The 23,421-nt window shown below is 49.3% G+C and overlaps 1 long non-coding RNA gene across 1 annotated transcript, besides 2 other annotated features; it reads left to right on the top strand.

Moving 5' to 3' along the window:
* Positions 1,247 to 2,446: an enhancer, noted in NCBI's record as "MED14-independent group 3 enhancer chr18:76686389-76687588 (GRCh37/hg19 assembly coordinates)". NCBI's record gives its function as "activates an origin of replication core promoter dependent on BRD2, BRD4, P300/CBP and CDK7 cofactors, and independent of MED14, by STARR-seq in HCT116 cells {active_cell/tissue: HCT116}" and the evidence as "EXISTENCE:reporter gene assay evidence [ECO:0000049][PMID:35650434]".
* LOC105372224 (uncharacterized) lies at positions 1,462 to 20,223 on the top strand. Its single transcript, XR_935678.3, has 4 exons — positions 1,462 to 1,751; positions 3,607 to 4,042; positions 5,378 to 5,548; positions 20,085 to 20,223. It is a non-coding gene; the product is annotated as an uncharacterized LOC105372224 (long non-coding RNA).
* Positions 17,821 to 19,020: an enhancer, noted in NCBI's record as "BRD4-independent group 4 enhancer chr18:76669815-76671014 (GRCh37/hg19 assembly coordinates)". NCBI's record gives its function as "activates an origin of replication core promoter dependent on BRD2, P300/CBP, MED14 and CDK7 cofactors, and independent of BRD4, by STARR-seq in HCT116 cells {active_cell/tissue: HCT116}" and the evidence as "EXISTENCE:reporter gene assay evidence [ECO:0000049][PMID:35650434]".
* Positions 20,224 to 23,421: the final 3,198 nt, after the last annotated feature.

Raw genomic sequence — 23,421 nt, 5'->3', positions numbered from 1 at the left:
CACACACATTAACTTACAATGGATCACAGACCTACGTGTGAGACCAAAACTCTGAAACTCTTAGAAGAAAACACAGGAGCAAATACGAGTTATGACCTTGAGTTAGTCAATGGTTTCTTAGCACATGGAAAACACAAGCAACAAAAGGAAAAAATAGATAAATTAGACTTCATCAAAATGAGAGATTTTGTGCTGAAACAATACCATCAAGAGAGTGAAAAGACAACTCAAAGAATGGAAAGAGTATTTGCAAATCATAGGCACCTAAATTCAGAATATGTAAAGGACTCTCACAACTCAGTAAGAAAAATATTACAAAAGGACTCTCACAACTCAGTAATAAAAACCAAATAACCCAACTTTACACATGGGCAAAGGATTTACATAGACGTTCCTCCAAAGATTTATGGATGGCCAATACACATGTAGGTTTAGGAAACGTTTAATACGGCTAAAGATCCACGAGGTTCCTGGTTTACGAATGCCACGGTGATCTCTGGAAGTCGCACAGTGGGCGCGCATCACCGTGCTGGATCACGGAACCTTTTGCTCGGAGTATCCTCAGCAGTGACTGCCCTGTGGAGGCTTCCCTGGAACACGGACAGAGGCCTTAGCCTGTTCTAGCTGCAGGAACCAAGTACTGGAGACTGAGTAATTTATAAACAATGGAATGTTACTGCTCACAGTTCTGGAGGCGCCAGTGGATTCAGTGCCTGGACTGTTCCTCGTGAGTGGCCTTTCAAGGTGTCCTCACGTGGCCAAAGGGGGCACAGGAACATGCTCCAGCCTGTTTTATAAGGGCACAAATCCCATTCACGTTGGTGCAGCCCTCATGATTTAATCACTCCTCAAAGCCCCCACCCTGAACACTGTCACTTCAGGTACGAGGCTGTCACATCGGGATTCTGGGGCGTCAGCAACATGCAGACCGGAGCAATAGAGTTTTTATTCCACACGAGAGTATACAGAAGCCTGGGGGATGAAAATGCGTTTTCTGCGCTTGCTCACCTAATGAGGGGTGGACAGACCACGTCCCACTCTCTCCAGCTGTATTCATCATCGGCATTCACCCATGCTTCCGTGGCCCACATCTCTGCTTTCTGGTAATCATGACAGGCTTATCCCGGGCTGTACAAAGCAGGAACAATCTAAACAAAGCATGGATTTTCTCAGGAGCATCTTCAGAGATGATTTATCTGAGTTTTGCCCTCTTCCTTTCTACGACTTAACCAGTAGCAAAACTGAGCACCTTCTGCTGGACTAAATTTGCCCAGCTCTGGCGTCATTTCCAACCCCCTGCCTTTATTAAGAGGCATGATCAACACAGCAGGAAGCCACGGAGAGCTCCAGCGGAAACACACAGTAGCAAGAGCTGTGATGTGGACAAGTTCCTGGCCCAGTGTGGCGTATCATTGGTTTCCAGGGCCAACGTCCCCCCCCAGGGGCCGACAGGCTCTGAGCATTTGCTGTGCAATCTCCGCCTGTCTTGGAAACCAGTGGCCTCAGAGCCCCTGCTCACCCGGCTTCATACCTGAGCATGGAACTCACTGGAAAATGTGGCAATGCCTAACAAAGCCGTGGCTCTTGAGTGTGACTTGGGCAAGAGCTGCTTCCAGGTTCTCAGAATGACACCTCCAAGATGGGCACCAAGCTGGTTCCCCACGGTGCCCACATCCTGAAGTGTCCCAGATCACACAGCAGCGGCGGATTTGAGTCACCCCAGGCCTCTGCAGACAGGCGCAAGAAATAAGGTGGCATATCATGATGTCACTTCTGTGTTTTTGGATAGTTTTGCTCCTACAGGGGTATGAAGAGGAGAATGTGAAGCTTTTAACAAATTCTTGTGGCAGAAACACCTTTTGTGTGTTTGACAGCTAGAAATCTTTCTTTCTCTTTTTTCTTCTTTCTCTCTCTCTTTTTTTTTTTTTTTTTTTTTGTGATGGAGTCTCGCTCTTTTGCCCGGGCTGGAGTGCAGTGGCACATTTCTTGGCTCACTGTAACCTCTGCCTCGCAGGTTCAAATGATTTTCTTGTCTCAGCCTCCTGAGTAGCTGGGACTATAGGCGTGAGCCATCACACCTGACAAAGTTTTGTATTTTTAGTAGAGAAGGGGTTTCATCATGTTGGCCAGGCAGGTTTGAACTTCTGACCTCAAGTGATCCGCTCCCCTCAGGCTACCAAAGGGCTGGGATTATAGGTGTGAGCCACCGTGCCTGGCAATTTCCGGTTTTAGTGAAGCTAGATGCTCTCAGGGTGTTGCTTTCATTGTGTTAATGAGATCTCATTTTTGCTTTTGGAGATGGCCCAGATGAAAGCTGCCCGCTGCCCTTTCATGTCTGCAGACCCTCGGAATTGGGTGTCTGCACCCTGCTCCCACCTTTGAGGGCCAGAGTCCTGCCCTCCCCTGCCCGTGCTCCCATTCCTGAAGGACCGTGGAAAAACACGAGAGAGGGCGAGAGCTGGCCGAGCCCCGATCCCACCTCCTTTCCCTCAGCTGCCCCCATGGCAGCGTGGAGCAACCATCGCCACCATCTAATTCTAGAACCTTCTCATGGCCCCACATGAAACCCGCACCCCTCAGCAGTCCCTCACTCCCCTCCCTGCTTCCAGACCTGGTAAGCCGCTCCTCCATGTCTGTCTCGCGGATTTACGGGCTCTGGACTTCAAGTAAATGGAGTCGCGCCCGAGGCAGCGTCTCGTGCTGGCTTCTCTCCCGGAGCGCCGTGTTCTCACGGCTCACCCGCGGTGCAGAGCGCCCCAGGCCGCCCTTTCTTTTCTTGGCTGAATATGCTGTTCCCGGCTGTGGGTCTTTTCTTGGCTGAATGCCGTTCCGGGCTGTGCGCACTCCGCGCTGGGCCTGCATTCACCAGCCCACGCACATCGGGGTTGCTTCCGCGTTTTGGCTGTTTGGAGAACGCTGCTGTGAGCTTTCCCGTGCAGGCCTTCGGGTGGCAAGCCTTCCTTCGACCTGGGCACACATCGAGGGGTGGGAGTGCTGGGCCGCGGCGGCTCCGCGTGTGGCTTCCCGAGGGCAGCCAGGCTGCTTTCCACGGTGGCCTCCGGGTGTGCCCTCCCCTGCTCGTGGAAACTGGCTGGGCTCGTCTGGCTGGCGGTGAGGCCGACTTTGCAGGCTGTGTTTCTGTAGCCAGCAGCTGTGACGAGCACGGGCTCTGGGAGTCCCGTGAGGCCTGGATTTTAGACAATCCTCAGGTGCGCGCAAGTAAAAAGAAGGTGCAGTGCGCTCTTCCACGCCTGACGATACATTTTCCTACTAGCTCTAATTTCACGTAAATGATTGCACAAGATATTTCATGCACACTGAAACGCACGATACAGCACAGAGCCAGGGACACATTGAAAGAAACGAGCCTCAGCAGCGCAGGGGAGGGCTGCCCTCCCTCCTGGGTCTCAGCGCACTTGCCCTCCTTTCTCACTGTGCGCGGTACCAGGTGTGCGACCGCGTGGCTTCACGCCCTCTTGCGTCTTTGCTAACCCTGTGGGGATGGCCCAGGCGGTCCGAGCCGGTGCCCTCGGCCTCAGCTCGGTGTCTCAGCCGCCGTCTCAGGGCGTCTCCAGCATCTTCCTCACCGGCTGCTTCCAATTCCAGGAAACCTGCTCCTCCTCCCGGATTTCCTGGGCCGACGCCCGTGTCCCTGTGGGTTCCTGTCCTTCCTCAGAACATGAGCATCGAGCCAGGAGCAAAGCCCCGCGCTGTGGCTCAGGTGCAGCTGTGGGGATCAGTTTCCACCAGTGAGGGGCATGAAAAGGCCACGTGAAAATTCTCCCTCCTTGGAGCAAACGGCGTCCAGGGCCCCGGATTTTCACCCCCTCCCCAGGGTGGAAAGGAGGCATCTGCAACAGCTTCAACCACGAAGACGAGGACAGGACCTGGGACCAAAACCACAAGGTGGAGAGCGGGCCCGGCCCACCTGCAGTCTCGCCTGTTGCTTGCGGATGGCGTGAACCGCTAGCCTCTGGGAGCTTCTCCGCTTGGGGGCCTCTTTGTTCTAGAAGCTTAGTCTTTATCCTAATACCCCGGCTCGGTGAGTTGAACTTCCATCCACTCGGATGCTGAATTAGGGTCCGGATGGACCCCTGATCCCTCGCTCCACCTCGTCACCCACCCAACCCTTTTCACCTAAGTGACCCTTTTGGGCCCTGAGCTCTGACGGAGGGTGAGGCCAAAATGCTGGCTTGCAGATGTTTGGTTTGGCTCTCATGCTTTGTCCAGATATGTTTTACAGGTCCTGTCCCCAGGTAGGCACGATGTTTGGACAACAGACACCTGTGGCACTGGACTAAGGCTGCCCAGGGGCAGGGGGCGGAGCGCTGCACACCTGAGCGTGGCAGCTGTGACTGCCACGGCACCGACTCTTACCAGCTGTGCGGCTCTGGGCTAGTGCCTCGACCGGCCAGCTGTCAGAGGTGGTTCACAGATAGTCGTTCCTATCTTATAGCACCACGGTGAAGGTTGCAAGAGTTCATCCGTGTGAGGATTCTGAAGGGCGGCCACAGGGAGGACAGTAAGTGATGGTTTCATCTGCGTCCTGCCCTGGGTCGTTGACTACTCATGCTTCCCTCTCACCCTTGCCCCTGCCCACATTAGGCCGCCATCCTGCAGGGGCAGGTGCTTAACCTTCACCGTGGCATCCAAGGCTCGTGCCCAAGGCCTCTCTGACCCCTTTCTTGCTGCCTTTGGCCTCCACTCTGCCCCAGCCCAGAAGCCCTGACATGCCCTGCGACATCTAAGTTTTTTCCACTGTGTTTAAATACTTGCAAAGATATAATTCCCATTATATTGAGATACATATTGATCTTTTAAAGTTAAACTTCTACAATACCTTTAAAATCTATCATATGGAATCTAAATACTATAGTAATTTGATACATGCTAGCTATTGTCCACTGAAAAATACATACTCAGGCGCCTCTCGACAGCTGGAAGGTTAATATTGTTTTTTCCTTTTAAACATGTATTTCTGTTTCTCTCCCCAATAGAAACGTACCCCAGTGCTATGTAGATATTATGTTTGAAGTTTGTTGTCCATTATCTTACACTTCTCTGCCAGAAAAATATGCATGTAGCTAAAATTAAAATAATCGTAAAAGTTTTATGTCCTTAAGGCTCTAATTTTTTTCTGGTATTAATATAATTATCATTAGTGCATAGTTAATCAAAAATAAAGAGATTAAAAAATTTGATCAATAATTATTAATAATCTTAATAATTATTAAACATGATCAGAAGAATGTTTATTAATGGGATGGATACAGCTTTTCCCTCCTACTTAGTTATATATTTGTGGATAAATATTCCTCATTGCTAGAATGGGATAGTGTTTTATCTGCAAACCTACTCCTGTTTTCTGTGTTTATAGATGCAAATACTGAGAAATATAAGTGAATAGAAATGGAAGGAACTTCATTGTACAAACAGCACTCAATGCTTTGATCTCCTTCTGAGTTACACGCCATGAGTTACACGCCAATGATCACACGATGGTCTATCACCAAAAGGATTTCTGATGATGGATCAGCCCAGGACTCAGGTAGGTGCTCCCTCCACCTTGTTGGATGCATTTGTCTTGTAAAAGCTCGCTGTCATGAGCCCCCGTGGCTCACAGGTTTGTGGATCTGATGGCACTGTTGCCATTCTCCCGCTGCTTCCTGAAGTCGGCTGTCACCCAGCGCCAGTGTGTGCGAGACTCGGAGGGGAGGGTAGGCGGGGGGTTCACCGTCACAGGCACGTTCTCAAGCCAACTGGCGTGAGGCAGGAGCAGAGTGGAAGCTGAGGACCTGGGCACTGATCACCCCAAGGCCATCCGTGGCACAAACCCTTTGAGAGTTGCGGGCTTTCCCCTGCTGCCCTTGCACTGAAGGGCCCCGGTTTGTCTCACTCCCGAACTTGCTTTGTTCGGGAGCTTCGTCTGTGGGGTCCTTCACTACTTGCCATCTGTCAAGCACCTTCCCTCTGCTGACGGGTGACCCTGCCATGCAGAAACCCCTTTGCTAAAGTGACCTGACCCTGCATGAGAAACCCACAGAATATGGAGTCTTGTGAAGATGTTTCGCCAGTCAAAAAAAGTGGCTGCAGGTAGCCACCTTTCCACATCCTGGAACTCTACGAGCCCATTCATTCATTCATTCTTTCCTCATCTGTTTATTCCGGAAACATTCATCAACAACTACTATGCATCAGGCATGCAGCCGTGGGCAAGAATGACAAAGAAAACATGGTTTTTATCCCTAAAGAGTTCAAAGTCTAGAGACAGGTAGGTGCAAATGTCTGTAACAGCAGTTTTGTGTCACTGGCAAGACAGTGACAGGTGTGGGTGTGGGTGGAGTTCTCAGCTCCACCAGGATGGAAAGGGAGACTGGATGGTGTTTCCTGGAAGAGGTACTCTCCTGGATGAGCCCTGAAGACCACAAAAGGCACGGGCTGAGTGGGGAGGCTGGGAGTGAAAGGGGGTGCCCACAGCCCACAGGTGGCCGCCGTGTTTGCTTTGGATGAGATGCTAAGTTCAAGGCAGGGGGTGTCCCAGATGAGCCTGGGAGGTCACAATGCCAGACCTGCACCACGTGGAAGGGCTTGGAGCTCAACCCAAGGGCAGTGGAGAGTATGAAGGAGTGGTCTGATCAGACTTGTGCCTGACTTTTTGTGTCTATGGACAGGTTAGATTGACATGGTGCATGGCATTGAGTCAGAGGATTCCCGATAACATGATGGGAGGTGGCAGGAGCTGCGGGTGATGGAGGGAGAGGTAAAATGAGAGCGGAGTCAGAACTGGCAGGGCACTATCGTCAGATGATTTGGGGAAGGGCATCAGGGACAGGGAATTATCAAAATGTCTTCAAATATTTAGCTTGGGCAACTCCTTCCAAGAGATTTACAGGCAACTATGATGTCTGTTAGGGATGCCTTACGATTCCTGTGCCTGGGGGGCATGAAGGTGCGGTGTTGGAGGCTGCTGCAAAGATGGATGTGAATGCAGTCAGCCATCGGGTGGTACTGAGGCTGCTGGAATGAATGATGTCACTGAGGGAGACAGCAAGGATTCAACTGGGCTGAGGCTTAAATTCAAGGGATTTCTGGCTTGAGGGTGAGTGGAGAGATGGTGAGACCCTCAGCGTCTACTCTGGGAGGTTGGGAAGATGAGGATGGTGAGACTTCCCTGGAGACAGAGTCCTGAGAACTGTGGGTAGAGGAATAGGACTGGGAGGGCTCTAGGGTTGGAGGCTTGTGGTTAAGGGACACGAGGGGGCAGAAAGATTCTGGCTCAGCCTCCCCCACTTTATGGTTTCCAGTTGTTTTATGATGGCAGAGCTCATACATGTTTCTGTGCTGAGGACGCAGGGAGCAGGGAATCCTCCATCAGACAGGGAGGGGCGATGGACGGGACGGCCTCGGGGACAGAGAGACCTCTGTGGCTGCTGGGGGGCTGTGGCATGATGGGGAGTGGACACGACGTGGAATTCTTGGGATGTGGAGCCTGAAGGCATCGAGGGCTGTTCCTCAGGCAAGAGATGAGTGGGGCGAGGTCAAGGCTGAGGATGCAGAGCTGGGAGTCATTAGAATCTCTGCGGAGTGTCTGATGTGCTGAGAACCGTTAAAATCCATGAATGAGTGAGTGGTTAAATTTACATTTTTCTGCAGAAAAAAACTTTTTGAACCCACCCACCCTAACTGATGACCCTCTGCTTCCCCATTTGTATGTGTGTGCACGTGTATATGTGTGCGTGTGTCTATGTGTGCATGCTCGTGCTTTGTGCACGTGTGTATGAGTGCGTGTGTCTGTGCATGCTTGTGCTTGTGTATGTGTGAATGTGTGCATGTTTGTGTGTGTGTGCACATGTGTATGAGTGCGTGGGTCTATGTGTGCATGCTCGTGCTTGTGTGTGTATGTGTGAATGTGCATGTCTGTGTGTGTGCACGTGTGAGTGTGCACATGTGTGGGTGTGTGCATGAGTGTGTGTGCACACGTGTGTGTTTGCCCGTGTGTGTGAGTGACCCTTTTTATGAATTGAGTTCATACACGTGTTCTCTATTAAGTTCACTTAGCCAATTTTTTGAGAAGTTTGCAATAAAGAAAGTGGTCGGTGAAAGAGCTACAATTTAACCAGCATCATTCATTAACCAGGATCATTTATTAACCGGGCAGAATCCATAGTAGGTTTCAACTCTCATAATTAAACTAAATTGACTGAAGAATTCCTTTGTCTACATTTGGTCTGGTTTCCTGGGGACCTCCTATTTGTGTAAGGCCAGACGATAACTCGATGATGCATGCTTTTGGAAATGCATTTTTGTTATGGGCGTCAGTCACCCCTCAAATCAGCAACAGTTTTTTTATCGAGCAGACATAGTTTAGACCATATGGCACATGTACATGGTTTTAGAAAACACAGGTGGAAGCTCTCTCTTCTCTGGATTGAGGTTATAGTCTAATAGAACAAAACGAACCTTAGTTTGGAAAAGACTTGATAGACAGCTGGCCAGGTGAATGCACCTGGAATCGTCTCACTGGGAGGGAGGCTACCTGGGGGGGTTGGAGGGGGATGGGTGCAGGAATGTAACACACCTTCCTAGTTCCCTTCAACTCCTCTACCATCCTGGGGTGAAGGGATTTTACTTCCTCCTGGTGAGCACTTTTGAGGTTTAAAGAGTTTTGTTTAGGTGACTGGTTGGAGCACAGTGGAAGAGTCATCGCTCTGTCATGCATGGGAAGATAAAAGAGGGATGCGTGGCTCAGTTCTAGCTTAGTTTTGCTCTCATCACCTACAATGCAAGCATCAAGCTATTGTGTTAGAGAGAAAATGCCTCTTCCTTGGCGGGGTTCAGATGATGCCGCTACTTTGTACAATTGCTGGTTGCATGAAGTTAATCCTAATCAGGTCAACAAACAATGGTTTCTTTGGGATTTGGAAGTAGTTTTAAAGTTTGTAATGACAGTGTCATTGATTAAGAGGTCTAGAAGGGGATGACTGCCTCATCCCAGAAGATGTACAAGAGGCCATATTTTGAGATTGGATTTGGATCTTATTCCCGTCTTTATTTTCATTCACATGGAGTCACAGTGAATGAGGAGCTTGATTTGAAGTGAACAGACCTTGACGCTCCTTGACTCAATCTTGGAAAAATCACTTAATTTTCCTGTACTTCACATAGTATCGATATACCTTCTGCCTGTGTCTAGGACAAACTAAGAAACATTGTGACACTAGTTCATAGAGCCCAAACTGTTGGGGATCATGATAGATACTCCACTGAGGTTACATTTTCCATTGAATTGAATCCTGCTTCCTCAAGGGCGAATCTTAAAATTAAAAAGAATCTTTAAAGGAATGTTAAGAGGGATTGCTCGAGCCCAGGAGTTTGAGATCAGCCCGGCATCATGGCGGAAAACCTTCTCTACCAAAAACAAAAACAAAAAACAAAAAACAAAAAACACCAAGCCCCCAAATTAGCCAGGTGTGGTGGTGCATGCCGGTGGTCCCAGCTACTCTGGAGGTTGACGTGGGAGGATCACCTGAGCCCTGTGAGGTCCAGGCTGCAGTGAGCCGAGATGGTGCTGCTACACTCCAGCCTGGGAGATACAGTAAGATGCTGTCTCAAAAAAAAAAAAAAAAAAAAAAAAAGATAAGAAGAAATGCTGTATTGTACATTGCTGATGAGGGTTTCTTATTCCCTGAAGTGGAGATGATGAAGATGAGGGGGTGTTTTCGAGATGACTGTGCAGCTTCCCCTGGGTGTGTGCCGGCTGCAGGGGACTGGCCTCTTCTCCGGAGCCTGACGCCCTGTACACTTCCATCATGTGTGCCCCCAGACCTCTGACCACCAGTCACCCTGCTGGTTTTAACTCACAGTAGGTTGGGGGCTGTGAGCCAAGGAATGTAAAGAGGTATGTGTCAACGTGGAGGTGCTGGGGGACGGCTGGGAAGCCATAGGCTACACGGAGCCCACCCATCCAAGACCCTCCTTTGGCAGCTGATTGGGGTCCACACTCACCCTCAGCCTGCCGTGGCTCCCTGCCACTGGCAGCTGCCAGCCCCCTGCCCTGTCTTGCCCTTCTGCACTCACAGGACTCGGGGGTTGCTTCCAATCTTGCATGGTTCTGTAACTCCATAATTTAATTAAATAGCATCCACACTGATGAAATATGAGTAAGGGAATAAGGGAAATTTTTACTTCTATGAAAACTTAGATGAAAGTTTAGAAAACACTAAAAAAAAAGTTGCTAAAAATAATTACTGTTCCATCAGGTTTGGCAAGGCAGCAGGGAAAGGTTTGAAAAATGATGCAAGTATAAATGGACTCTGCTTTTTTATTGCTTTGAAAGTGTTTTTAAAATCTTTGTCCACTTTAAGAGAAACCAAAAATGAGAATCATAAGAAACGCATTTTGACTGTGGTTCGTGCAAATTGTGGCATTACGATCACCCACTTTACAGAGAAGGCTTGGGCCATGTACCAGGAGGCTGGGGAGTGATGTACACGTGAATGTTTAAGATGAAAACAAACTAAGATTAATAAAAGTGAAAATGGTGTCTATCTATCATCTATCCTTCGATTTATCATCTATTGACTATTTATTAACTATCAAGTATCCATCTATCATCTATCGATCTATCAATCTATCTATGATCTATCTACCTGTCTAGCTATCATCTACCTATCAATCCATTATCTATAAACTATTTATCTACCATCTATCTACCTATCATCCATCTATCTATCTATCATCATTTATCCATCTATCATCTATTGATCTATCAATCTATCATCTATCTACCTGTCTAGCTATCATCTACCTATCAATCCATTATCTAAACTATTTATCTACCATCTATCTACCTATCATCCATCTATTTTTTTTTTTTTTTTTTTGAGACGGAGTCTCGCTCTGTCGCCCAGTCTGGAGTGCAGTGGCGGGATCTCGGCTCACTGCAAGCTCCACCTCCCGGGTTCACGCCATTCTCCTGCCTCAGCCTCCCAAGTAGCTGGGACTACAGGCGCCCGCCACTACGCCTGGCTAATTTTTTGTATTTTTAGTAGAGACAGGGTTTCACCGTGTTAGCCGGGATGGTCTCGATCTCCTGACCTCATGATCCGCCCGCCTCGGCCTCCCAAAGTGCTGGGATTACAGGCGTGAGCCACCGCGCCCAGCCCATCCATCTATTTATCTATCATCTATCTATCTATCATCATTTATCCATGTATCATCTATCAATCTATCTATCTATCATCTACCTGTCTAGCTATCATCTACCTATCACTCCATTATCTATAAACTATCTACCATCTATCTACCTATTATCTATCTATCTATCTATCTATGTATCTATCATTTATCCATCTATCATCTATCCATCCATTTGTCATCTATCCATTCCATCCATCAGTCATCTATCCATTCCATCCATCAGTCATCTATCCATTCCATCCATCAGTCATCTATCCATTCCATCCATTTGTCATCTGTCCATTCCATCCATCAGTCATCTGTCCATTCCATCCATCAGTCATCTGTCCATTCCATCCATTTGTCATCTATCCATTCCATCCATCAGTCATCTATCCATTCCATCCATCAGTCATCTATCCATTCCATCCATCAGTCATCTATCCATTCCATCCATCAGTCATCTATCCATTCCATCCATCAGTCATCTGTCCATTCCATCCATCAGTCATCTATCCATTCCATCCATCTGTCATCTGTCCATTCCATCCATCAGTCATCTGTCCATTCCATCCATCAGTCATCTGTCCATTCCATCCATCAGTCATCTATCCATTCCATCCATCAGTCATCTATCCATTCCATCCATCAGTCATCTGTCCATTCCATCCATCAGTCATCTATCCATTCCATCCATCTGTCATCTATCCATTCCATCCATCAGTCATCTATCCATTCCATCCATCAGTCATCTATCCATTCCATCCATCAGTCATCTATCCATTCCATCCATCAGTCATCTATCCATTCCATCCATCTGTCATCTATCCATTCCATCCATCAGTCATCTGTCCATTCCATCCATCAGTCATCTGTCCATTCCATCCATCAGTCATCTGTCCATTCCATCCATCAGTCATCTATCCATTCCATCCATCAGTCATCTGTCCATTCCATCCATCAGTCATCTATCCATTCCATCCATCTGTCATCTATCCATTCCATCCATCTGTCATCTGTCCATTCCATCCATCAGTCATCTGTCCATTCCATCCATCAGTCATCTGTCCATTCCATCCATCAGTCATCTGTCCATTCCATCCATCAGTCATCTATCCATTCCATCCATCAGTCATCTATCCATTCCATCCATCAGTCATCTATCCATTCCATCCATCAGTCATCTGTCCATTCCATCCATCAGTCATCTGTCCATTCCATCCATCAGTCATCTGTCCATTCCATCCATCAGTCATCTGTCCATTCCATCCATCAGTCATCTGTCCATTCCATCCATCAGTCATCTATCTGTCATGTATCTATTGATCTATCATCTATCATTTATCCACCATCTGTCTAGAACGACCCCACGCTTTCACCCCTGTGCTCTGCCGACTGGCCAGCCTGCCCTCAATCAGCCTACTCAGATTCATTTCCTACAGACTGAGCTTGCACAGCAAATGGCAGAAGGAAAAGGCCAAGAGTTTTGAGTTCAAGTGGACCTGGGTTCAAATGTTGACTTTCCCACTGACCTAGCACTTTTATGATTTGGGGCCAGCCACTGCGGCTCTTCAAGCCTTTGTTCTCTTATCTATAAAATGAAGATAGTAATTCCTGTTCTGCTGAGTTTGATAAGATGTATAATTTTAATAGCGTGTTTGGCTCATAGATGCTCCATAGACCAGGTGGTCATGATTAGTGAAGTTGCCTTGGAGGCCCACCCTGTGGTTCAGGTGGCCCTCACCCTGGCTGCCTCTGAGGCTCAGGAAAGTTGTGGGGCCGCAGTGGTGCTACCTGCCAAGTGGAGTTAGGGTGTGAGGGGCCACGCTGGTTCAGCATACCGGGTTGTGCTGCAGCCATGGCTGGACCAGGGCAGGGTGAATGCTGAGCCTTGTGTGCGTGCCCCCCCTTGTCGTGTGGGTGAGAGTGAGGAGCCAGGATTTGCATTTCTGTGATACAGAGGAGGTAGAGAAGAGCACCGTACACACACTGGGAAAGAAAAGGGCTCGGCCAGCCCCTGCGGCCCCATGGCTCCGCGTGCCGAGGGCTTGGTGCCCGTCTAATGCTTCCATGCACCGTCTCCCTGAAGAATCTGGCATCCCTGTAAGGCCAGGAATATCATCCCACTTGGCAAACGAGGAAACAGAGACTCAGGGATATGGAGGATTTGCATTTGCCCTGGAATTCCTCCAGAGCGGATGGTTGCAGGCTCGCTGAGGATGTCTCACTGAGCCCTGCTGGCCACAAGGCACACGGGCCAAGAGCAGCCGCCCAGGAGGCTGGCACCATGGAGCCCAACCGCACTGCCTCACAACAGCTGATCCCTGCAGCCACCCGGAGGCTGAGACAGGTGGGGTGGCCTTGAAGACCGCATGGCTGGACGGTCTGGGTGCCACACCTGAGCTGTACATTCAAGCTCAGAGATTCTGCAGTCCCAGGGTGCACGGCTCTGAGCCTGTGGCAAAGCCAAGGGAGATTATTCTGTGACCTGGAGAGGGCCTGAAGGTCACTGCATCTTCCTCTTCATGTCTTCCCTCAAGGCCACAGCAGTTTTGTCTTCAAGGTGCACCTTTAGCTCTGACATGCGTCGGAACTCCAAGGTCTACGCTGTGCTGTGAGGACGCTGCTCTCACATAGCTCATCTGAAGCCAGCCTCTCCCTGCCAAGTCCTGCCTCTTGTTTTCATACAGTCAGAATGGGTGTGTAATGAATAACGACTCGTTTCAACACAGAGCCTTGGAACAAACCGATTTTACACGTTGTGGTTCTGTGCTTGCACTCTTAAGCAGAATGTGTTGGGTTTCGGCAGCTAGTCTGCAGAGATCACTAATATTCTGCACATATCAGTTTAGAAATCTTCGATGAATGAGGGGAAACGCTGATGCGAAGCTGCGAGGTCGCCTGGGTTTGCAGTTGCCTGCTCGCGCCGTGTGGTGATAAACACTCAGGAAACAATTCCAAGACGTGGCTATCAGGAGCAAACCGAACACAAAACGGATGCAGGTGGTTACCTGGAGCTGCTGCACTGACCCGCAGAGAGACCCGCGGAGGCGCAGCGGGGAGCTTGGCACAGACAGGAAGCCGCGGGGAGGGCGCAGACTGCACCGACCTCAGGCAAAGGCACAACAGGCGGCTGGGCGACTCGCGCGGGGAGGAGGCACGCGCAGCTGTGTGCGTGCCGCATCTGCAGGAGCCTGGACCACGCTGGGGTTTGGCTTGGAATGGCTTTTGGAGTCTGTGCCTTCCACCAGGGGCCCGTGCCAGCGCGGGGTGGCCCTGGCAGGAGGACTGGACGCCTGTGAGCATCGCTGGTCAAATGCGAGGGAGGATGCAGGAGCAGCGTGCAGCCCCGGGACAGGGAAGCCAGGTGGAAAATGGGCAGCGATGGTGCTTCCAAGGCGGATGCTCTTAAGGGAGCTCGGCTTTCCTCCTGCCGTGGAGTTCGCGGAAACCTGAAGCAGGAAAATGGCAGCTTTCTGTGAATTGAAAAATGATGTCCTTTGACTAGCTGGCCGGCTTACACGGAGTGGAGGCCTGGGCTCCGCGGCGGCTGGCTCCTGCAAGCCACACCTGGTGGGGATGTCCAGGGACCAGCAGGAGGGGGGCCTGCACCCCTCCCAGCTGGAGAAGAATGAGCCTGGGGCAGGCAGCACAGGGCTGGCGTTTGCCGTGGTCCTTGGGGCCTAGCTCCAGAAGAATAAAGAGAATAAACCTTTCTGACTTGTTGCCATTATTCTCCGGTGGAGGCTGTTTTAAACAGTTTTACCCTCGGGCCGGCTCTTTGTGGAGCTGGGATGTGAACGTGGCTGGCGGGATGTCAGGTTCCTGACCTTCACGGGTGGGGAAGTCTTTGGGAGTCTGGCGAGGCCTATCCACCCCTCCCAGAAGAATTTAGAAATGCACAAAATAAAATACACAGAACTACCAAGGAATCAGATTGAAATACAATTAGTATTTCACACGTGCTGTTAATGGATGCATTATATGACAACACCCAGCCGTGAGTCTTGCGGCCACTGAACTGGAAGCCGTGGCACAAACATCTCAGGTGGGAGGGAGAGACCTGTGACTTCCCCCTGCTGAGGGCGCAGGTCCTGCAACACCACTGCGGTGCACTGCCCGCTTTCGTAGTCGAAGACATTCGAAATCTCAGTTTGAGGTTGGTGAAAACGAAGATGAATTTTTTCCCCATCTGTGGTTTTTGGGTCATCTGGGAAGAAGATGCCAAAATGAAATTAGGCACTGAAAGCTTTCCTGATGGGGGTCCCTGTGAGCAGGGGTGGGAGTGGGGGCTGCCCTGCCACAGTGAAGGTCAAGGGCGGAGGAGAGACTGTGGGGAGGAGCACTGAGGAAGAGCCTCGGGCTGAGCGGAGCCCTGGAGCAGAGACACCTGACCCCAGAATGCACGCTGGGCACACGGCCCGGCTCACAGCCCACGGTGCCAGCAGAAGCGGGAGCAGCCCAGTGGCATGTTTCCTGGGTGCCCTGGGCCGGGTCAGAGCCTCCTTGACCCCCGGTCCCGGTGGGGAGGACTGCGTGCACGCTCTGCAGCCGTGCACCGGCCCATGACGGAACTCTGTTTAGACTCAGTTCCAGACTCCTCGTCTGGGGAAAGGTGGAGTTTGCACACATGCAGGCCCTGGAAGGCCTGAGAACAGCTGTGGCTGCCAGGCAGGTGAGGCAGGCATCGCGGATGGTGCAGAAGGGAAGCTCCTGGCCCAGCTACGTGTGCACAGACATGCGTTTCTTGGGCCCCAGACTGGAGGCAAGTGCTTGGCAGGGGATTTGGAGAGTCGGATGAGAAGGGTGTGGAGCAGTGGGGCTGCCTCGAGGCCTGGCCTGGTCCCCACATGCACTGTGCCCTTGGCCAGGATAAATCCCATATTCTTTTCCTTCTTCCACATTATCAACTCCCTGTCTGTTTTGTGCTGAGATGTTACTGGTAAATCTGGTGGCTCAGGAGCCAAGTCTGTGGAGATTTTTGAATTTTCATGCATGGTTCCCTGAGCAGTGATTTTGGAATCTTCAGTGAAAGAATTTCAGAAACCACAGGAACCCTCATGGAGTCCCACGGGCTCTGTGCGTGGCCAGGCTTCCCTCCAAGCTGTGTCCTGCTCTGAGCCGCTCTGGTCACTGCTCTGCTGGGAGGGCGGTGGGCCTGGTTCTTGGGAGGGCAGAGGCAGCCGTGGGAGTGGGTGCAGGGCCTTGGAACAGGAGAGCCTCTCCCTGCACTCTCACCCTTCACGTGCCGCAGGTGGAAATGACTTTGGACAGAGGGCAGCTATAGCTGTGTCCATCACTGGTTGAAAAACCCCAAACCCTGAAGACGTGGATGTGTTGGAAGACATTTTTTCGGCAGTGTGGCTGTCTATTATGATTGCAGGATTGTTTTGAAAACATATTTTTACTGACTTTTGTTGTAAAGGTGTTTTTGAGCAAATATCAGTCTTTGTTTCCCTAGTCAAATAGTGGTTACAAATGAGGCTGCTCTTCACACCAGTTCCAAGGACCAGCTGGGCACCAAGAGGGCCTGGGGCAGGGGCTGGAGGCCTGGGGTGGGAGCTAAAGGCCCTGGGGGGAGCTGGAGATTCTGGGCTGACAGCAGGAGGCCCTGAGGTGGGAGCAGGAGGCTTGGGTGGGAGCTGGAGACCCTGAGGTGGGAGAAGGAGGCCTAGGGCAGGAGCTGGATGGCCTGGGGCTGTGGCCTGAGGTGACAGAAGGAGGGCCTGGCATGAGAGTTGGAGGTCTGGGGCCAGAGCTGGAGGGCCTGGGGCAGGAGCTGGAGGCTTGGAGTGGGATCTGGAGGCCTTGGGATGGGAGTTGAAGGGCCTGGGGTGGGAGCTGGAGGCCGGGGGTAGGAGTTGAAGGCCTGGGATAGGAGCTGGAGGCCTGGGGCTGGAGCTGGAGGGCCTGGGGCAGGAGCTAGAGGCCTGGGGTGTGATCTGGAGGCCCTGGGATGGGAGCTGGAGGGCCTGGGGCTGGAGCTAGAGGCCTGGGGCAGGAGCTGGAGGCCTGGGGCTGGAGCTGGAGGACCTGGGGTGGGAACTGGAGGCCTAGGGCGGGATCTGGAGGCCCTGGGATAGGAGCTGGAGGGCCTGGGGCTGGAGCTGGAGGACCTGGGGTGGGAACTGGAGGCCTGGGGTGGGATCTGGAGGCCCTGGGATAGGAGCTGGAGGGCCTGGGGCTGGAGCTGGAGGCCTGGGGTGGGATCTGGAGGCCTGGGGTGGGAGTTGGAGGCCTGGGGCTGGAGGTGGAGGGCCTGGGGCAGGAACTGGAGGCCCTCGGATAGGAGCTGGAGGGCCTGGGGCTTCGGCCTGGGGTGGAGGTCAGGCAGTGCTCTCCATTTCAGCTGGTGGCCTGTAAATATTTTATGCCCAGATTTGCTGATTTTGTGGTGTGTATTTCATTGAGCTATGGCTTGTTTCCCAGCGTCATGCTTTGGTTCCTAGAAATAATGATGTTCTAATTTGCAAACATGTAAAAGGAACCATCATTTTTCAAAATCTAGGAAGACTTTAAAATGATACTTGGCTCAGCCTCTTGGCGATGTGTGTGCATGTTCCGGAATTCTCGGACATGAGGGTGTCCAACCCATGGACGAGCTGCTCTGACAAGCGATGACAGTGCATTAATTGAGCAGCGAATGCAGTGAGTTGACACTGTTTTATAGATATCTAACTGAAAGCTTATTAATTGAGATTTTGTGTATTTTGAGGGATGGAAACAAAGATCTGGCTCCTGCAGTTAATAAACAATGTAGCAATGCGGCACATGCCCGCGGTAAAGATGTCACAGTGAGCATCCAAACTGATTTAGGGCCGGGCGCTGCGGCTCACGCCTGTAGTCCCAGCACTTTGGGAAGCTGAGGAGGGCGATCACTTGAGCTCGGGAGTTCAGGAACCTGGGCCATTTGGAGAAATCCCATCTCTACAAAAAATACAAAAATTACCTGGCCCTGGTGGCATGGGCCTGTAATCCCAGCTACTCAGGAGGTTGAGGTGGGAGGATTGCTTGACTCAGGAGGTTAAGGCTGCAGTGAGCCGAGATTGTGTCACTGCACTCTAGCCTGGGTGACGGAGTAAGACTCTGACTCAAGAAAAAGTTTTACTTGGCTCATTGTATACAGGCTTATATTATGACATGTTCCAATGACACATTCGAGGTTGTAGGTCAGAGCACAAGACATTGAAAGAATAAATGGAAATATCAGTACAATGGGAAGCAGAGGCGGGAAAGATGAGATGGAAAAGACTTACTCACTGAGGGACCCATGCAGGCCCACAGGCGCTCTGAAGACCTGTGGCAGGCGTGACCATGCACTTCCTGGCAGTCAACGAAAATGACGTACAGCTTCTTTCAAGATTTACAGCTGTCTTGTGAATTACCAGTATGACCAGATAATTATTGAATTGTCTTTATTATTTATACTATTGAATAATGTTGGATCCATACTTCTAACATTGATATAAATAACATCACATTGTCCACTCGACTAATAACATATCAATTGCCCAGTGACAGTGCGTTGATGCTGGAGGAGAAAGTGTCTCATTCCTCACAGGGAGAACGTTGTATGTTTCTTGTTCAGTGTGTGCTTTTGGTCCAATCTAAGGTAGCTAGGCAACAAAACCTTGCTTTGTAGAGCTTATTTCTCGTCGGCACCCCACCTTACAGCCCAAGGGCATTGCCTCGCCCCGTTCAGGATGGGACCGCTTGTTGTTCGGAGTGTGAAGGTCCCATGATTCCTCCCTTCTCTGTTCTCAGGTGTGTAAAATTGGCTTTGTTTGGCATTTTCTCAAAATGGAGGTGAAAAAAAATGATGAGACTTTGCTTAGATCACAAGTGCCGTTAATATTATCCGCCTGTTTCTTGTTGGATGTGTGTTGTTCAGGAAGGCAGACTACCTAAGAATATAAATCTTATTTCTCTCGTTAAGAATCTGTGATTTGGAAGAATCAAACAATATATTCTATTTTTAGCTTTTCAGCCCAAATGTAATCATGAAATCAAGGTGTCCACTGCATGAAAAGTGAATAAGAAATGGCACACTTTTTTAGGATCTTTACAGCACTCTACATTTCTTTTTGCTGAAGAATTTCCTAAATTCATTTAAGATATGTTTTTAAGAGTTTTAATATTTAAATATGAAGAATAGAAAATCTTTTGTCTGAAGGTGCAGCCTCTTAAATACTGCTCTTTGCTGACATTCAGTCGGAAGCAGGGAGCTGTCATTAGGAACCATACAGTTTTAGGAAATCTTGCACTTTTAAGAAAATCATTTTCTCAGGCTGTATGTGTTATGTTGGAATTATAAGTATGTCTAAATTAAGACATAAATCTCCAACACAGGAGCCATCTTTTCATTATATCTCATAGAAGATTGTGCACATTGCTGATACTCAATTAACTAATAATAATAATGCTAATAATAATGTAGCAATAGTCAACTTCCATTTGGTCACACATCCTGCATATACAGTAATTGTGAAAGCATATCATCTCTGAGAGTATGTGTTGTGCTCGGATAAAATGTGTCATCATCACGAAATTAGAGTTAATGGCAGGAAGGGGACCTCTTTGATCAGTCCCTCCAAGGCCCTCTGCACACCTCTTAAGTGTACCTCATTATGAATTCATTTTAAGCTTCATTGAGTCCCAGAAATTAATTTGACATAAATTTCATCATAAGGCTCTGGAAACTTTAATTTCAAAGGTAATGGTAAAGTAGGATTTTCTCCCCGTGTTCGATACAGATACTTTAGACAGATGTTAAAGTGCAGGTTGAGTATACCAGCCGTAAACATTTTTTTCCAAAATGACTCTGATTTAGTAAACACTTTATTTTGCATTTATCTCTCACCTATACTTCTAAAGCATTTTCTGACATCTGGTCTCCTTGATCTCAGCGGGATCGTGATGTGAAATGGTGCCTGGTCTGCTGGGGACAGCACAGGAACGAAAACGTGGAAACGTGGAAACGCGGGTCTCCGGCCGTCCAGCTTTCGCGGGCCCCGTGTTCTTCCCTTCAGTGAAAATACGCTTATACATGCGGCTCCTTCCCTCTCCAGGTCGCACTCACACTCCTTTTAACTTGAAAGCTTCTGTTTTCATCCCGGGATATTCCGGGATCTTATGCAACCCCTTTTTCTTTCTGTTTGCTGTTTGGATTCTTAGTGATGCCTCCTTTTTCCCCATCCATATTTTTTATCTTCATTCTTTTTTTTTTTTGAGACAGGGTCTCACTCTGTCACCCAGGCTGGAGTGCAGTGGCATGAACATGGCTCACTGTAGCCTCAACCAGGCAGGCTCAAGTGAGCCTCCCGCCTCAGCCTGCTGAGTAGCTGGGACCACAGGTGTGCACCACCATGCCTGTCAAATTCCCTCATTCTTCACACTTTTCTATTTGAGACAGCCTCGCTCTGTCACCCAGGCTGGAGTGCAGTGGTATATCTCAGCTCACTGCAACCTCCACCTCTGGGTTCAAGAGATTCTTCTGCCTCAGCCTCCTGAGTAGCTGGGAATACAGGTGTGTGCACCGCCATGCCCAGCTAATTTTTGTAGTTTTGGTAGAGATGGGGCTTCGCCATGCTGGCCAGGCTGGTCTTGAACTCCTGACCTCAGGTGATCCCCCGTCTCAGCCTCCCAAAGTGCTGGGATTACAGGCGTGAGCCACCGCACCCAGCCTCCCCCCGCTTTTTTTTTTGAGACAGGGTCTCATTTTGTCTCCCAGGCTGGAATGCAGTGGCATGATCTTGGCTCACTGCAACCTCTGACTCCCAGGTTCAAGCAATTCTCCTGCCTCAGCCTCCCCAGTAGCTGAGATTACAGGTGCATGCCACCACACCCGGCTAATTTTTTGTATTTTTAGTAGAGACGGGGAGCTGAGATTACAGGTGCGTGCCACCACACCTGGCTAATTTTTTGTATTTTTAGTAGAGACGGGGTTTCACCATGTTGACCAGCCTGGTCTCGAACTCCTGACCTCGAGTGATCCACCTGCCTTGGCTTCCCAAAGTGCTGGTATTACAGGCGTGAGCCACCGCGCCCAGCATTTTTTTTTTTTTTTCACCTCTTTCTGATATCTTCTGGAAGGTACTTTGACCCAACTCTTCCTCACTATTCCTCCTTCTATTCTTTTAGAATTCTTGGATGTGTCTACAGTATGTGGAACAGGTGGGCAGGAGTTTCCGAGAGAAAAGCTCTGTTCAGTGTGGAGCTTTCAGCAAGGGATTCCTGCGGGAGAAGTGCAGGTGGCACCTGGAGAGACAGAGCTTCTTCTGGGGCTTGGAGGGTCTTGAATGTGAGCCAACAGATTTTAGAATTTTTTACTTGCAAAACTTTAAAAACACACAGATATGCATAAAGAAAAAACATGACGATAATAAAAAAAAATTCTACAATTGGAGGTAACTGTTACCCAACTTTTTTTTTTTCCTTTTTAGACAGGGTCTTGCTCTGTCACCCAGGCTAGAGTGCAGTGACACAATCATAGCTCATTGTAAGCTCGAACTCCTGGGCTCAAGCCATCCTCCTGCCTCAGCCTCCCCTGTAGCTGGGACCACAGGCACGTACCACCACACTCAGCTAATTCAAAAAAAAAAAAAAAAACTGTAGAGACATGGTGTCACTATGTTGCCCCGGCTCATCTCAAACACCTGAACTCAAACAATCCTCCTGTGTCAGCCTCCCAAAGTGCTGGGATTACAGGTGTGAGCCCCCTTGCCCGGCCAACTGCTAACATGACGTATTTAACATAACTTGACGTATTTTGTTTGCTTTTCTTCCCTTTTGCATATGACACTCCTACTTTCAAAGACCAAAAAAAGTTCCTGTCATGTGATGCTATTTTGTTTCTTAATTTTTTTTTTTTCAACTAAAGACCTTTTTGTTTCAGTACATGCAAATTTTTAATATGTCCCCAAACAAATTCAGTGGCCTGGTTTTCTGTTCATATTTCTCTTATGGCTTTACAATCTAATCTAAGGATATTAATGTATGAAATATACAAAGACAATAGCCTTTCTTTGGTAATTCGTATAAATATTTTCTCCAAAGAATTATCTTTTAACTTTGTTTTTTGTTTTTGTTTGTTTGATTTTCGCTGTGATGCAGAAAATTGTAAGTTTCGTGTGCTCTGTTTCTGGCCCTTGCGTCGTGCTCGGAAAGGGCTTCTGCAGCCTAAGACCATGAAGAGACATGGCGAGTTCTAAGCAGGTGGATGAAATGAGTGGGGTGTTACCCTGCCTGATCCTCCGGGTGAAATGTCCGGGTCTAGCTTGGCTGGTGGTGCACAGGGAGTCCCGGTGCTCTACTGAAGAGGAAAGTGGAGTGAGAGGGTGGGACCCTGGTGGGGAGCGGGAGGGTGATGAGGCCGGGCGGCGGCCTGGAGGGGCAGCCTGAGCCATCGATGGGGTGAGGTTCGGGGGTGACCCCGCTGAGGTCAGGCAGAATGCTGGCAGGACGGCGTCCGGCAGCCAGCGGGAAGCTCAGGCCTAGGGTGGGGTGGCAGAAGCCAGACATTTCTTAAGTAGGGGCTCCTGGAACACAGGCCTGCTGCAGGGCTGCAGAACGCCTCTTTCCCACAATGGCTGTAGATTGTCACTGAATTTTAAGAAAAGTGACTTCCACTCAAATGTAAGAGACCCAAATTCTTAGAAAATGGTTTAAGAATGATTTTTTCAAAAACCACTAAACCAAATATATTACCTATATTTTAGATCTATTTTCATCTTGTGAGTTACATTGTATCAGAAAGCATTAATAAAATCGTTGTCTTATAATATGTAACTAAGTGGTGTTAAGGTAGTGGAACATTTGTGCATGTTACCAACATGTCTTTCTATTACTTATGTTAGTTATATTAGCATAGAGAGGGTCTTTTAAACCCATCAAATATCATAAAAGCTCCACAGTCTGCAGAAAAGATTCAATAATATGGCAGAAATTAAGGGAAATGTTAAATTTTTTATTTGTTTGTTTGAGACGGGGTCTGACTTTGCCACCCACGCTGGAGCGTAGTGGTGAGGTCTTGGATTGCTGCAGCCTCGATCTGCTGGGCTCAAGCAATCCTCCGGCCTCAGCCCAGCAAGTAGCTGGGACTACGGCATCCACCACCACACCTGGCTAATGTTTGGTATTTTTTGTAGAGATGGGGTTTCACCATGTTACCCAGGCTGGTCTTAAACTCCTGAGCTCAAGTCATTTGCCTGCCCCGGCCTCCCAAAGGACTCGGATTACAGGTGT

Source organism: Homo sapiens, chromosome 18 (assembly GCF_000001405.40).
Source record: "Homo sapiens chromosome 18, GRCh38.p14 Primary Assembly".
NCBI classification, from domain to species: domain Eukaryota; kingdom Metazoa; phylum Chordata; class Mammalia; order Primates; family Hominidae; genus Homo; species Homo sapiens.
This window is presented reverse-complemented; position numbering and strand designations above follow the sequence as displayed.